Raw genomic sequence first — 15499 nt, forward strand, 5'->3', positions numbered from 1 at the left:
CTCGGTATCTCCTCTCTGTTTGCACCACTATCAATACCAATGCTACTTAGCAGCCCCTTCCTCCTTCTTCTCTTCTCTACTCTGTGTCTTATTCTTGCTTAATAGCCATCTTATGCCCAGCCTCCTCCATAAATCTTCCCTGGGATGCCACAGTGACTGCAGCATTTCTTAAATCCTTGTCCTTATAGTTGGACCCACAAAGTTTGACTGTATTCTATACAAACAGCACAGAGTTAGACATATGAAACATACTCCATGAACAGCTAAGTAGGCAATTTTCCAAATGGAAATGCAATCACTGTGGTATTAAATTCTTGTTCTCTTGAATAACTTCAAAGAATGAACTGGCATTCTCATTTTAATTTTATTCTAGAAGCAAGTAAAAATTCCTATTATATCAGGTGCTGACATTTTCATCCCATCAAATAACTGAATGGACATGAGCATTCAACAATTCCCTTCCACCCAAACTCAATTCACAACCTTAACATGGAACATAATTTTTGCTCTATGTTTAAGGGACTTGAAGAACATCTCATAGTTTCAGACTAAAATAATAATCTGAACTTTTCCCTTTCATTTTTTCCATTTATACACACTCATTTTATTTCCACAGACATTAAGAGCTCTGAATTTGACTAATATACTAAATAGACACCTCATTTATATTACAGCTTTTATTCAATAATCTTGAGTGATAGCTTATAGTCATCATATCAGGTTTTCTTTTGAATATTCTTAAATGTATTGTAGTCACCATCAATAATAATCATGCTTCAGTTAGATCATCATCCTATTGCTGAGTTATCAGTCATTCACTATAAGAATAATTGAGATAATATGAAAGACAATTGTCTAAATAACTTATTACTGCATGAAAATAAGCAAAGTGCGCTGATATCACAGAGTCTACTCTGACAATACAAAGAAGGTTTTGCAAATTGGTGGCAGGAATAGGGGAAGTGCTGTGCTGGATTTCTGGCAGCACGCTAGCCCTCAGCTATCCTTTCCCTTAACATCATAAGCTACGTTGGGCTTCTGTAACTTGTACCACCATAACATTCCACTGTGGGAAGCCAGGGACCATGGAAACCCATTAAACTGCAACATCCCTTGGCACACAAAATAGGCTTTTCCTCCTTAATGAACACAGTTTGAAAACAATCCACCAAGGAATTTTGTATGCTGTTTCAGTTTACATTAGCAGTTGCAGACGTACCTGGTGACTATGACTCAGCAGTCGTTGAGGCATAAGGAAATCATTTCTGCCTTCACTTTAGATTCTGTGAGCTTTCAGGGGGCACTACTGAAAAATCAATGCCAGGTATGTACTTAGAGAAGCTTCTGTTAATGGTTTTCCTGTTGACCTAGCCCATAGAAGAATCTGTCATATTTAATTAGTGTGGCAGTATCATGCTGATCAATCTTTTCCCTGGTTTTTCTTTCTTAACTATTTCTGAGCATATACAGAATTAATACACCTATCTTGGTACTAGTGCCCATTTTTCAGCAAACTAGTCTCTGCAATGACTTTCTTGTCCCTTGTTGAAGGGTAATCTCTGCTGCTGCATTTTTGTTTTTGTTTCTAGCTGTGTAAGAAATTAGTGCAAGGGCCATACCACCCTGAATGCTCCCGATCTCGTCTGATCTCAGAAGCTAGACAGAGTCAGGCATGGTTAGTACTTGGATGAGAGAAATCAGAGCATGGGACCAAAGCCATATTTCTTTTTTTTGTTTTTTGTTTTTTTTGAGACAAAGTCTCACTCTGTTGCCCAAGCTGGAGTGCAGTGGTATGATATCAGCTCACTGCAACCTCCACCTCCCGGGTTCAAGCGATTCTCCTGCCTCAGCCTCCCAAGCAGCTGGGACTACAGGCATGCACCACTACACCCAGCTAATTTTTGTATATTTATTAGAGACAGGGTTTCAGTATGTTGGCCAGGCTGGTCTTGAACTCCTGACCTCGTGATCTGCCTGCCTCAGCCTCCCAAAGTGCTGGGATTGCAGGCGTGAGCCACCGCGCCCTGCCCCAAAGCCACATTTCTAACCTCACTCGTAGCTTAGCATGTCCTCTTATTGAGAAGGTTGCCTCTTTCTGTGTTCAGTTCAGTTGGAGGATGCTACAAAACAACAGGCCCCAAAATAGTAGGGTCCTCTGAATGCACACATTCTAGTATTTAACCCAAAGCATGTGCAAACCCACATGCATGCACACACATGGTGAGAGAGTTCTGCTGTACTACCACTGCATTTTGTACCCAGAACCAGGACTGCCCTCAACTAACACAGGCTTTGGTGTAAATCTAGTACCTCAGTCTAGATTCTTCCTTTATGTTGAGTTAAAGGTATCCATTGCTCATTCCTTCAATCTAGCCTTGGTTAGGTATGACTAACTATGGTCTATTTTTCCTGTTTTCTTGGTTTTGGTTAGAAAAACCAAGTGGTTAGCAGTATGTTAAGATTTCTGTCTCCCTCCCTCTCTCTAGAATTGGCTCCTTGTTTATGCAGTTTTGAGAATCAAATACATACAGCGAAGCGGTAGAGGGACCACTCCTATTTCATCTAAATTCCAAGCTCTAGTTGAAGATGTTTTTCTTGTAATATTATAAAATAATATACTTTTGGCATAAAAATGAACATGGAATAAGTGTAGACAAATAAGCACCTGACCACGTTTGTGTTTGTCTCATATATTCTCATCTCAAAATAACTAGAAACCATCAGGGAGAATCTTGATATGTTGCCCAATTAGTATTTTGGTAGGACTGAATCCCACGATGAAGACATCATCCGAAAAGGGAATAACACATGACTCTCTAGAAAGCAAAGTTCCCCAAAGCACTAAGAAAGTTCCACAGTCAACAGAAACATTGGCCCAGAGATGCTAAACTCCGTATGTTCCTCAATCACATTTCTGATGAGTGTGTTTTGGTAAGCTTGTGCAAGGTCACTTTGCAAAGACCTAACCCCAACGGTGCAGCCAGTCTTAACGAGAAGCCTTATAGGCATGGGCGCTGCTTCTCTGAGACAATTCCTTGTGGCACCTTAGAGCTTCTTTAAAGTTTGTTATCATTATTTGGGCTCTAAACTAATATTAACAACCATGACTGTATGCCTGCCTCAAGGGCCACTCATTTAATTAGAGTCTTAAGTTAACCTTTTTTGTGTATTTACCCCTAGAAGAGAAGGTGCACTTGAAACTTTTTAAGTGCATGAACAATGACTATGTCAGAAGAAATGACCATGTAACAGTCTGGGAACTCAGACAAAACCTTAGGGAATCAGTTAATAGTTTATTGTGGCGGTGTTGGTCTGAGGGTTTTAGAATCTATAATACTGACTTTTAGTGGTGAGCTTCTTTCCAAATTAGTTTTGCCTGTTGATTTTTAACCTCCTCTATGCAGTGATGAACAAAGCATCTATATAAAGAGCTATGCAAAAATTTGGTCTCTGTATTAACATCATTCATGTGAAATAAATCATGGCAACATTACATGTGATAAAATGTGGAAGGTCTCTTTATAGATTATATATTGTCTGCAATCAGGGACAAATTTTATTTTGTACACACAAACATTTGTTAATATTGTGACAAATATCACATCTTCCCATTAGCTTGCTGAGTGTAATGTTACTCTGGGACAGTAACTAAGCAAGAGACAGAAGTATCTTGTACTTAAGAGTAAGAGTTGCAGAGTCAGGCAGGCTGGGTGTTAATCTAGTGACCTCCACATCCACATCCAGCTGTGTGATCTTGGACAAGTTATTTGACCCACTAGTCTTTAGATTGTTCATCAATAAGTTGAGGTTAGTCCTATCAACCGTTTCATAAGTCCTTGTGAGATGAATAGAACAGCACATGTAAAGCACCTAATGGAGCTCCTATCACAGAGCAAACCTTTAATCACATTATCATTTATTTCCTGACACTAGGTCAGATGTTAGACTAGTTCTTGGACATATTTTAAAACTAAAGTTTGCATTTTAGAATACTGTTAAAGAAAAGTTGCAAAGATAGCACAGAGTTCTTGTATATCCCACATCTAGCTTTCTCTATTATTAATGTCTTATATTGCTACGTAACATTTGTCATAGTTAATGAACCAACATTAATGCATTATTATTAACTAAACTCTATTTTTTTTCAGATTTCATCTTTTTTTTTTCCTTTTTCTGTCCCAGAATTCTATCCAGGATATCACATTTCATTTATTTTCCTTGTTTCCTTAGGCTTCCCTGGGCTGTGACAGTCCTCAGCCTTTCCTTGTTTTTGATATCTTTGACAGTTTGTAGAGGTACTGGTCAGGTATTTTGTAGAATGTCCCTAAGTTTGACTTTGGCTAACTTATTTCTCATAGTTCAGTTGGGATTAGGGAGAGGAAGGCCAAAAGAAAAAGCGACATTCTCAAATATATATGATCAATTTATCAGTGATGATGTTAACATTGATCACTCAGCTAAGGTCGTGTTTACCAGACTTACCATAAACTTACTTTTTATGGCTTTTTAAAAAAATGCTATGCTCTTTGAAAGCTACTCACTCAGTGTACGACCCACTTAAAGAATGGGGAATTATGTTTCACCTTGCTGAGAACAGAGTATCTACATAAATTATTTGAAATTCTCCTGTGTAGATTTGTCTTTTCTCTCTCATTTGTTTTTTACTTAATCATTTATTTATATCAGCATGGGTATTTATTTTATACCCTGGATTATAATCCACTATCATCCTTTTTATTTTGTTACTCAATTTTTTCTGTCTCTGATGGTTGGAAGTCTTTCAGTTGGCTCTTGTGTCCCTTTGACATATCTCCATTTTTTATTGTTGTTGTTGTTGTTTTTATTTATTATTATTATTATTATTATTATTGAGATGGAGTCTTTCTCTGTTGCCCAGGCTGGAATGCAGTGGCACAATCTCTGCTCACTGCATCCTCTGCCTGCCTCCCGGATTCAAGCGATTTCTGGCTAAAAACATTGTTTTGTTTACTTTCTGGCACTACCAAGTGCTCTAGGCTCATCTTGTATATTTCCTTCACCTGCACTACACATGATTTTTTTTCCCCAAAAAGTCCTGATCCCTTTTATTGAAGAATTGTATTAGAAACCAAGATCTGGGCATTGGGTGTGCTTACTGCTATTGGAGTGTTGTTGATTCGGTGAAAAGAGCTAGGTATATACGTATGCCAGACCACATGTAAACATGTATCTGTAATCATTTCTGTATAAGTTTATCAGTTTATATACCAAACTAAATTTAAATTCATGCTGATGTTTCCAACAACCCTTTCCCTGTACCACATGGTTTATTCTAGCTTTCTCCTTTTGCGTATTTGTAACCTCCCAACCCAACAATGATAAAATGCTGACTTCTACCACCTGCTATTCATTTATTTGTTCAGTCTTGGTATACGTGTGTGTAGCTATTTGAAAATTATTAACGCATACCCCATGAGAGACAACTTTACTATCTATAGTGCAGTGCTTATATGTCATTCCTGAGTGTCATTTTAATAGATTTCGCTCAGACTGTGACCTCTCAAGGTGATCCTTCTTATTGTAGAATCTGTATTTGTCGTTCTTGTTTCTGTAAATATGCCCTTTACAACCTGAGCAGAGTGGCTGATGTATCCAGATAGATTTGCATTAAGTCTGGACCCTGCATTTGTTTTATCAACAGATGTTACTAAGACCTCCTTGCCTGTGTGCTCTTGATAACATTAATCTTCCTAAATTCTGGGATAGATATTGACTAAAGTTTCACTAGCCATGAGTTTTTATTAGGCCCTCGGGAATTCTAAATTTGACTTTTTGAAGAGATGCTATTGGGAGACACCATATAAAAGGCAACATTAAAGAAATCCTCACAATTACGACACTGAGACAGAGTGTCATTATTTAACTGGGCTGATAAGTCTACATAAAGTACCAACTAATAGAAGAAATGAACTTTAAACAAAAATCCACAGTATATCTTTTTCGTTTTTCTTTTCTTTTTTTTCTTTCTTTTTTTTGAGACGGAGTTTCACTCTTGTTGCCCAGGCTGGAGTGCAATGGCATGATCTCGGCTCACCACAGCCTCCACGTCCCAGGTTCAAGCGATTCTCCTGCCTCAGCCTCCCTAGTAGCTGGGATTCCAGGCATGCCCCAATATGCCTGACAAATTTTGTATTTTTAGTAGAGACAGAGTTTCTCCTTGTTGGTCAGGCTGGTCTCAAACTCTTGATCTCAGGTGATCCACCCTCCTCAGCCTCCCAAAGTGCTGGGATTACAGGCGTAAGCCACCAAGCCCAGCCAAAATCCACAGTATATCTTATTCCCATGTGTTGCTAATACTGTAGTAAACCTTATGGCCTATATTTAAATCACAAAGTCTGTTCAGAACATGGCAGGCTTCTGTTCCTTGCTTCCATTTCATCTACTTGGCATATTAATTCTAGGAAAACAGCTGAAGGATACTCTTTAATATGTCCTAAAATAGACTTTTTAAGTGCAACATCTTGTCAAGTTATAGATATTTTGTTGCATTCATTTAGAGTCAGTCATAAAAGTGGATTTACAATGTTAATGCCATATAACATTTATGGTTTTGTTTTGTAATAAGCAAGACCTCATATTGGTTACCAGAAGATGTTACATTAGACCCTAATAAAACAGGTCAGAAATAAGTAGAGCTTTTACAATAACTCTTGTATTTCACTCTGTATTTTCCCTTTGTGTTATTAGCTCAGCCTAAATCACTGCAGCATGAAAATAGAGATACTCAGAAAGGACATACCATTGCTTGGGATTCAAAGAGGACCATAATAGCATAAACTTTGAAGCTTTCTTACATATCTAAAGGAAAGCATCCTTCCTATCACCCATAAATAAATAGAGGTGGTGCTATGAGCATAGATCTGCCTTCTGCCTTCTTAGAGTGTGGGAGAGGCCAAGAGGAATAGGCTTGGCAAGGATTCTGACCCAGCAGGTTGTTGAGTAAGGAATTGGTTCTGATGGATTCTTACAACAGTCTAACTTCCCACACTGGCTAAAGCAGTCAGCTCTCTGTAGCATACTCTGTCTCTGTGATTACCTGCCAAATGCCTACTGCAGACCTGCAAAGATTAGTTACTTCGGGGGAGTGGTTTATTACTCCACAACACTGTTTTGAGCCAGGTCAATAATAACAGCAAAGGCACACAGCAAGCAGCCCTTGTTTCCTCTCTTATAGAAACAAAGAGCCCCACAATTCAACTGTTACTGATTGATCCTCGGCATCACTTTAACACCCTTGTGATTGCCCTTATTTGTTTTCCAGATACACCATAATTTTTTGAAATATGAATCAGCTAAATGCAATTGTATTTTCAGAGAATCAAGATCTACCATACCTTATTGTCAATTTGCAAAGAGCCTGCTGTTTATGTGTCATGCACATGAGAAATTTCTGTTTTAACAATAGATTGGAATGATGCATTTAGAAAAGTATCTGTATTGTTTGCACATGTAAAGCCCAGGTGGGGTTAAGCAATAGAAATTCAACTAATAATAACCGTGATAATAACATGTGCTTGATTAAATGATCTTTTCTTTCTTCTCTTCTATCCTACATAGCAGTTAATTTACATTTTAATAAACTGAATAGAAAATAATGGATTTGTTATATTTTTCTATGATGTCAGCAGAGATAACCCTTTAGGGAAAGAGTAAAATATAGTGTCAGAGGAAACAATTCCCAGGTCCTAGACTTGGGCACAGGCAAGGCTAGACAGTTCTGAATCTTATCTCAAATTCTCCCTGGAAGAGCATAAAGAAACTTTAGCAGCCAGGCCTCCAAGCAAAATTGAGGGCACTTTATCCCTTTGAGGTCATTATTTAAAAAATGACCTGATTAATCTTCCTTCAATAAATCTAAGACTCAGGCAATTTAAAGGAATCTGAATTTCATTTTCTTTGCTCGATATGTTAACAATATAAAATAATTACAGCCCTTTCTATTTTGATCTGAATTGAGATTGTATCAAATTAGGTATTGAATATATAATTCTGTCAGGCAAAAATAAGCAGTGGAGAGCTACAAATGTCGAGAAATCAGAAGAATATTTTCTCCAGGGGGAGTCACATTTACCATTGCTTCCCCGAATGCTTCCTTGCTTTATGAGGAGATAGAATAACGCGGTGTTTGTTCTTTTAATTTGAAGTTAATGACAAGAATTTAGATTTGAAAAGGTACCACTGTACCTACGTGCATAGTGATGGGGTTGCATTAATGAACTCAAACAGGCATCAACAAATGTACTTTATTGGAGCTAAACATTCTTTCAATATTTTTCAATTCTGAACATTCAAACTGGCACAATATTACTAACAACTCAGAACAAACAAACATTAAGCTAATAATTTTTGCTAACAAATGTCCTGTTGTCTGTAATGGGACTGCTCCACTAGTTGGGTAGGACTGCTGCTGCGTGCATGCACAGTGCTGCCTAATAGGGAGTGCCTGCATATGAATTCCTCATCTGTCCTTGCTGACTCTGTGACCTTGAACTTAGGACTCCTGATTTTAGTGGGCCAGCCAATGTATTTCATTCTCAAATTTAGATCCGAATAAGAAGTAGACCTAGGAATATACTTGTGAGTGCACATAGAACATTCAAAGGAATTTATAAAAAATTAGAATTAATATGTACATTTAGCAAGCTTGCAGGATACAAAGTTAGTATGCAAATATCACCAGTATTCCTGTATACTAGCAACAAACAATTAAAAAATAAAAATATGCCAATTGTAGTAGTATCAGAAAAATCAAACACATGGATTCTGCACACTGAAAGATAAAAAAAATTGCTGGGATAAATTAAGAAAACTAAATAAATGAACACTTTCTTCTAGAAATGCTCCATACCATGACCTGGGCAGCAGTTACATGAATGTGTACATATGTAAAAAGTTTTTGACCTATAAAGATTTCTGCACTTTACTATATGTGATTTATACTTCAGTGAAAAACAAAACTAACTGATAAACAAAAGACATACTGGATCGGGAACATGGTTTTGATATGTGCCCACAATGGAGAGCCTGCGTGCTGCTGCACTCAGGTAGCCGTTTATAGCCCTTGTTGAGCTTTCACAATAAGAACATGATTACTATTTAGAACCAAGGCAGCTATTTTCATAACCCACTGTGAAGCAGTTAGGCAGGTATTCTTTTGAAAGTAAATAAACACAGTCAACTACAATTATTTGGTTCCATTTAGCATATTACAAAAAGTAATGGTTTAATGATATCCTAGTGGTCCCAAATAAAGTACCACAGAAAATGATCATAAAATTTCCTTCTCACTAATAACTCTGAGACAAGTGTTATGAAAAGGCACTAAACCCCAGGAAGCCAAAGTGTTTTCACCTTCCCACCAGGTGACAATGTTATTAGTTTATAATTCTCTATTTACTAGCCATGAAAATATAGGAGCTTTAGAGGACAGGGCAGCCTATAATAGATTTTGTTTGTTCAATAATAGATCCTTACAACATTATCTAGACAGTTGCTGTAGTAAAGGAAATGGCCCTATAAAAGCCACATGACTTTCCAACTTTATGTCACATGTTCCTGCATGCTAGTTTATTAGACTTGGGGCCAGCAGGGCTGAGACTGAGGTAGTAGCTGAAGAGAGTTCTTCCTGACAGTAGGACCCTCCTGGGTGTACAGAGCCCAGGGGACTGGCAGAGTAAGAGAGCATAGGTACTCACTTCAGATGGACACAAACACACAAACTCTGTGTTTATTTTGGAAAGAGGTGTGAGCTATTACATTGCAAATATTCCCCAGGAGCATGTATCTAGCCTCCCGGCTCTCTATATGACACTGACAGAATGGGCTTCTTTGTCATCATTTGCTGTTGGTAGATTGGGTGCCAGTACTTGTAGTCAGGGAGACAGCTGTGCACATCTGGAATGATCCCAGAGAGAAGTCCTAAACCAGGCTTGACAATGGTGCCAGGGCACTGAAGGATGCCCTGTCCTCTGTCACCAGAAAAGCTTCTCCTCTGTAGATTTCTATACCTGCCCCTGCATTGCCACTAAGTGTGACAGGAAGAACAAGGAGTGAGGAGGCATTTGGATCCAGGTTATACCACATGCTTTCCTCACCTGTAAAATAGTGAGACTAATGTTTAGTTGGCAGGATTATAGTAAGCATTATAGCTCATTTATTAAGTATTGTATATAACAAACAAGAAGTGGTAGCTATTATTATTATTATTATTATTATTATTATTATTATTATTGAGACGGAGTCTCGTTTTGTAGCCCAGGCTGGAATGCAGTGGCGCGATCTCGGCTCACTACAAGCTCCACCTCCCGGGTTCACGCCATTCTCCTGCCTCAGCCTCCAGAGTAGCTGGGACTACAGGCGCCTGCCACCATGCCCGGCTATTTTTTTTTTTTTATTTTTTTTTTATTTTTAGTAGATACGGGGTTTCACTGTGTTTGCCAGGATGGTCTCGATCTCCTGACCTCATGATCCGTCCGCCTCAGCCTCCCAAAGTGCTGGGATTACAGGCGTGAGCCACCACGCCCGGCCGTATTAGTATTATTGTAGATATGAAGCTATTGCCTTTACTTTAAATGCTCTTTCCCAAATATTTGCCTGATTCACTCCCTATTCTTCTTCAATTATTCACTCAATGCTCCTCTTTTTAGTGAGGTCTACTCTAACCAATCGACATGATACTGTCTCAACATACCCACTTTTTCTTTCCTGTTCTCTTGTATTTTTTTCTGTAACACTGATTTGATTGTAATTATTACATAATTTTCTTAGTTGTGTTAATTTTTAGAAATTTTCTATAGCCTTTTACAAGAATTTAAGTCCGGAGACATCAGGTATTCTTGTATGTTTTGTCTACATAATACCCCATTGAAAAAAGCAGTGCCAGATGTATCATAGGTATGAATAAATATTTGTCAAATCCTTAAAAAATTACATAACTGTGAAATTAGTTAAAAAATAATGACATTCTACTGACTATTGTTTGTATATACATATGTATACATCTATGTACATATATTTACGTGTGTCTATACATACATATTTTTATGTTAATCTTACCCTTAATAACCTCAGAAGATAAGACACAGTTAGAAGGCACCTGACTTAAGAGAGATGACACAATTTTCCTGGTTTGCCTTATTTACACCTGTGTTCTCAAAATAATTGTTGCTAACACTAACTTTCTCTCTAAAAAAACGACCCAAGTCATAAGTTCTATGATCACCCTAAATGAGGATCAAAAGGAAAAGACTGATCTCACAGATATCCAAGAACAGTTCCTGTCTCAGTGCTGATGAATGAAGTATCCACTAGACAACCACTGGCACTGGCTTAAGAAATTTGTACTGGGGACACCAACATAATTTTTTATCTATGTAAAATAAATCTTAAATAGTAGTTATAAAAACAAGAAGAGCAAACTCAGTGTCCATAAGGCTTGTGTCTAACAGATAATTTTTCATTTGGTAAAGAACATTGTGTATTTATTCTGATATTTTTCTACAGTTTGACCCTGTTGTTGGTTGTAATGACTGCAACTTTGGGTGATGGTTTTAGTATTGACAGGACACTTTAAGGGGCTGCTGTCTTCAAGGTTATTTTGCCACTCAATTTTTGTGTTTTTTTTTTTCTTTAACTCTTGGTAATTTCTATGATTCTAGTAGCTTTAATATTTAGCATTTGGGGTTCTAGGCGAGCCTATAAGGGCTTGTTTAAGAGTTATCAGGCAGATGGCACAAATTTACCTCTTTTATGGTCCCAGTAAGTTGGAGAGGGAGAGAAAGAAAACCAACAGTAAGGGCCATGGGTTCTGAGTGACAGACATAAGCTACTCTGTTTAAATGAATCTGCAATTTTTGGAAGGAGGATCTTTTCTTTCTTATGTAACTTTCTATACTTATTTTGTGTGGTTTGATTTTAAAATGCCCTTCCTCTATCTTACTCCTCATTTCCTCTTGGAAAATTTCCTTTAAATCAGGAAAATATTGCTTTAGCAAATTACACTTTTAACAATGTCTTATCTTGCAAAGCTGGAAAATGGATTAAAATCTAATCTTCTTCCCCTTTAACCTAGCCTGGGTATTTTATATGTCACTCTCAGGGTAGATATAAGGATATCCTTTTCAAACTTTTGACTACATCTAAATAGGCCTTTAAATAGAACTCTTTAAAAATGTCCATTTTCATCCCAAGTTCGATATCAAAGTCAAAACTCTTTACCGTTTCTTCTAAAGACTCAAACTGTCTAACATCCTAAATATTTCTCTGCTAGTCTTAGCCTGGGAACCTTAGTGTCCAGTGACCTATTTAGGTTGGAACAAAGGGCAGCTGGCAGGGAGTGTGAGGAGCCCCATGTTGTTCTCAACCCCATATGCAGCTAAATTGCTGACTTTCCCACCTTCTAGTACTTCAAACACACATCACATCGACCCCCTACTATCAGTCAAATGAGGGAGGAAATGCTCACTGCAGAGAGAAGCAAATTTCAGGAACCAACTAAAGTCTCTGAATTATGCCAGTGATGTTTTCCAAATATATTTTTTGTTTTCCAAACCTCTTACCTTTATTTCAGCAAACCCAGTTGGTCCCAAAATTTCTCATCCATATCTAAGTCCTGAAGTCTAGGCTTCCAATATGGAGCTTATATCTAACACAATACCATTCTTGCAAACCTGCTTGGCAGTAGGGGAGTTTTTGATCACCTGTGACATAGGTAGAAATGATTGCAGGGTTTTTGAAATTCACAGGTAAAATCTAAAGGCTAAAATTAATGTGTAGTGTGACTCTTCCATCAAGAAACATTTTACCTGAGTTTCCAATAACTAGCAAATCTGATTTAAATATTTCGGCCCCATCAACCGTATATAAGAAGAGATTCATACTGACCAGTTCTAACTCTGGATTTTTGTGGCCCTAGAAATGAAAAAAAAATAGTGGAATCACCAAAAGAAAATACCATGGTTTAGATAATGCATAAATTGAATTCCTGTAAACTGTAGATTGTCATAAAGGAATCAAAAAATGTTTTTCCAGTACCATGATATAGGAAGATATTTAATATAAGTTCCTGTGAACAAAGAGGGAGTAAGAGTTATTTCCATTACTCCTTCAGGATTTCTTTACAATATTCAAAAGTCCTTTATTTTCGCCTCTGTGGAGTTTGTTTTATATCTCATAAAACCATTATCGAATAGAGAGAATAAAACTGAATAAATCATTTGCAGGTGGAATCTGCTAGAGCTAGCCACAAGTACAAAGCTTGCACAGGTGGGCGTGGCTTCTGCCAGTGTCATTGCTCATTCCCTTCCTCTGAGAACCCCCAAAAGCATTTGAGAATTAAACCTGGGAGCCTAGTCTTTATCATTGTGACCTTGGTAGTGATCTATTTTTATTGTTACAGGCAATGAAAGCTTAGAAGAAAACTATGTCCAGGACAGTAAGATGGGGTTTGTCATCAATGCCATCTATGCCATGGCACATGGGCTGCAGAACATGCACCATGCCCTCTGCCCTGGCCACGTGGGCCTCTGCGATGCCATGAAGCCCATCGACGGCAGCAAGCTGCTGGACTTCCTCATCAAGTCCTCATTCATTGGAGTATCTGGAGAGGAGGTGTGGTTTGATGAGAAAGGAGACGCTCCTGGAAGGTAATCTTTTCAGTAATCAATCTAAGTAACCTTGTGAGCCTTCCTGTGCCAGACAGATGGCAACTGTGGCTTCATCTGGTTCCATGGTTTCTGGGTGCCATGAGGATAGATACAACTAGGTAGCAAAAAGTCCAGGGATAATATCAGATGAAATTACCAAAGACCACACCACTTTTTAAGACATTAAAATACTTCTTTTTCAACACCCAATACCCAGTATTCTACCAGTGCCATCCCCTAACTCACCTATCACTTGACCCTTTTTCCAGAATGCTTGGGACCTTCCTGCAAGCCCAGGAACCTAAAGAAATTACACTTGGCCAGCAGAAACCTCTCAGACCTTGCCAGCACCAGGCCAGCATCTTTCTGATTGATTGACTATATACCATTCTGGTTATGAAATATTTTGAATATTACACCTGGTTAAAGAGCTCAGTATGCAAAGAGAACTAAGTCCTGCATATGTGTCCCTTCTCCTCAGGCTAACCTATGTTTGTGCTAACATATGTCTTGGAGCAAGAAAGGAAACAACTTTCTTTTTGGGATTGAGCCCCTATGGCTTATTAATCAAACAAAAAGCAGATGAAAAGTAAACCAAGGTATATACATAAAATCCTCTCCAAGCCGTTTTACATACAGTCTGCTCTGCAATACTTGTTTTGATACTACCAGTTAGCTCAAGCATAATTGGTACATAGGAAATTTTGTTAGTATCAAGAATAGTTGTGTTCATTCATAAACAGTTTCTTAGGAAAGGCATAATCAGAATGGCAGAAGAATTAACACCTTCAGGAAGAAGGAAAAAGGCCCTCAGCTTGGCTACCACTCAGCAAGCCCAGGGTCTTATAGGCCCTGTCACCTGTCAGTCTACGATGTCCCAGACTTAGAGCTTTTTAGAAAAGCATATGCTGTGTTCAAGTGGAACATCAAATCATTTAATCTTCATTGCTGTAGGTGGATCATTGTCTTTCTTTTACAGATAATAAAACTGGGTATCAGAGAAACTAAGGAACTCACCTAATGTCCACAGATTGCAAGCGGTGGAGGCAAGTGCTCTCACTCTGAGGCTTCTAATCTTTTACAACATCACACTGCCTTTTAGCAGATCCTAAAATTAGGCAACGTGGCTGGCAATCTTCTTTTCGGTTTTTGAGAAAGAGTCTCACTCTGTTGCCCAGGCTGGAGTGCAGTAGCACAATCTCGGCTCACTGCAATTTCTGTCCCCCAGATTCAAGTGATTCCCCTGTCTCAGCTTCCCAAGTAGCTGGGACTACAGGTGTGCACCACCACACCTGGTTACTTTTTTTGTATTTTTAGTAGAGATGGGGTTTCACCGTGTTGGCCAGGCTCATCTTGAACTTCTGACCTCAAGTGATCCACCCACCTTGGCCTCCCAAAGTGCTGGGATTACAGGCGTGAGCCACTTTGCCCGGCCTGGCAACCTTCTTAATGTCATTTCAGAAGTACTGTAAGGGACTGTTTGACCCTAAGTAAGTCTCCATGTATCTGTTTGTGTCAGCTTGAAGTCCTGCACTTAGGGAGTACCTTGTGAGAGCTAAGTGGATTCTCCCTGTTAAAATCTGACAGCTCTAGGAAGGATAAACGATATCAGTCATTGTCAGCAATTAAAATGATCAATTTATCAGATTTCTTCCAAGCTGCTAGTTAGATGGGAGCAGGTTTTGACTGGAATGCGAGTGAGGTAGATGGAATGATTCAGGAACTGGGCATGTGAAAAGCTTCGAGGAAATGGTACTAGGAGCAACAAGTGAGTCTGAGGTTCAGAACATTGACTACCTGCCTCTGTAAACCCTCTT

The 15499-nt window shown here is 38.5% G+C and overlaps 1 protein-coding gene and 1 pseudogene across 8 annotated transcripts in view; both read left to right on the forward strand.

Annotated features, from left to right (window-relative positions):
• The window catches only part of GRM1 (glutamate metabotropic receptor 1), a 409895-nt gene that overhangs the window by 311108 nt on the left and 83288 nt on the right, over positions 1-15499 (forward strand). For all 8 annotated transcript variants that reach the window (NM_001278065.2, XM_017010784.2, XM_011535782.2 and 5 more), the window contains one exon: positions 13436-13682. In NM_001278065.2, coding sequence (NP_001264994.1) covers positions 13436-13682 — 247 coding nt within the window. The remainder of the gene's footprint in view (positions 1-13435; positions 13683-15499) is intronic.
• RNA5SP222 (RNA, 5S ribosomal pseudogene 222) lies at positions 1606-1710 on the forward strand (annotated as a pseudogene).

Source organism: Homo sapiens, chromosome 6 (genome assembly GCF_000001405.40).
Source record: "Homo sapiens chromosome 6, GRCh38.p14 Primary Assembly".
Lineage (NCBI taxonomy): Eukaryota > Metazoa > Chordata > Mammalia > Primates > Hominidae > Homo > Homo sapiens.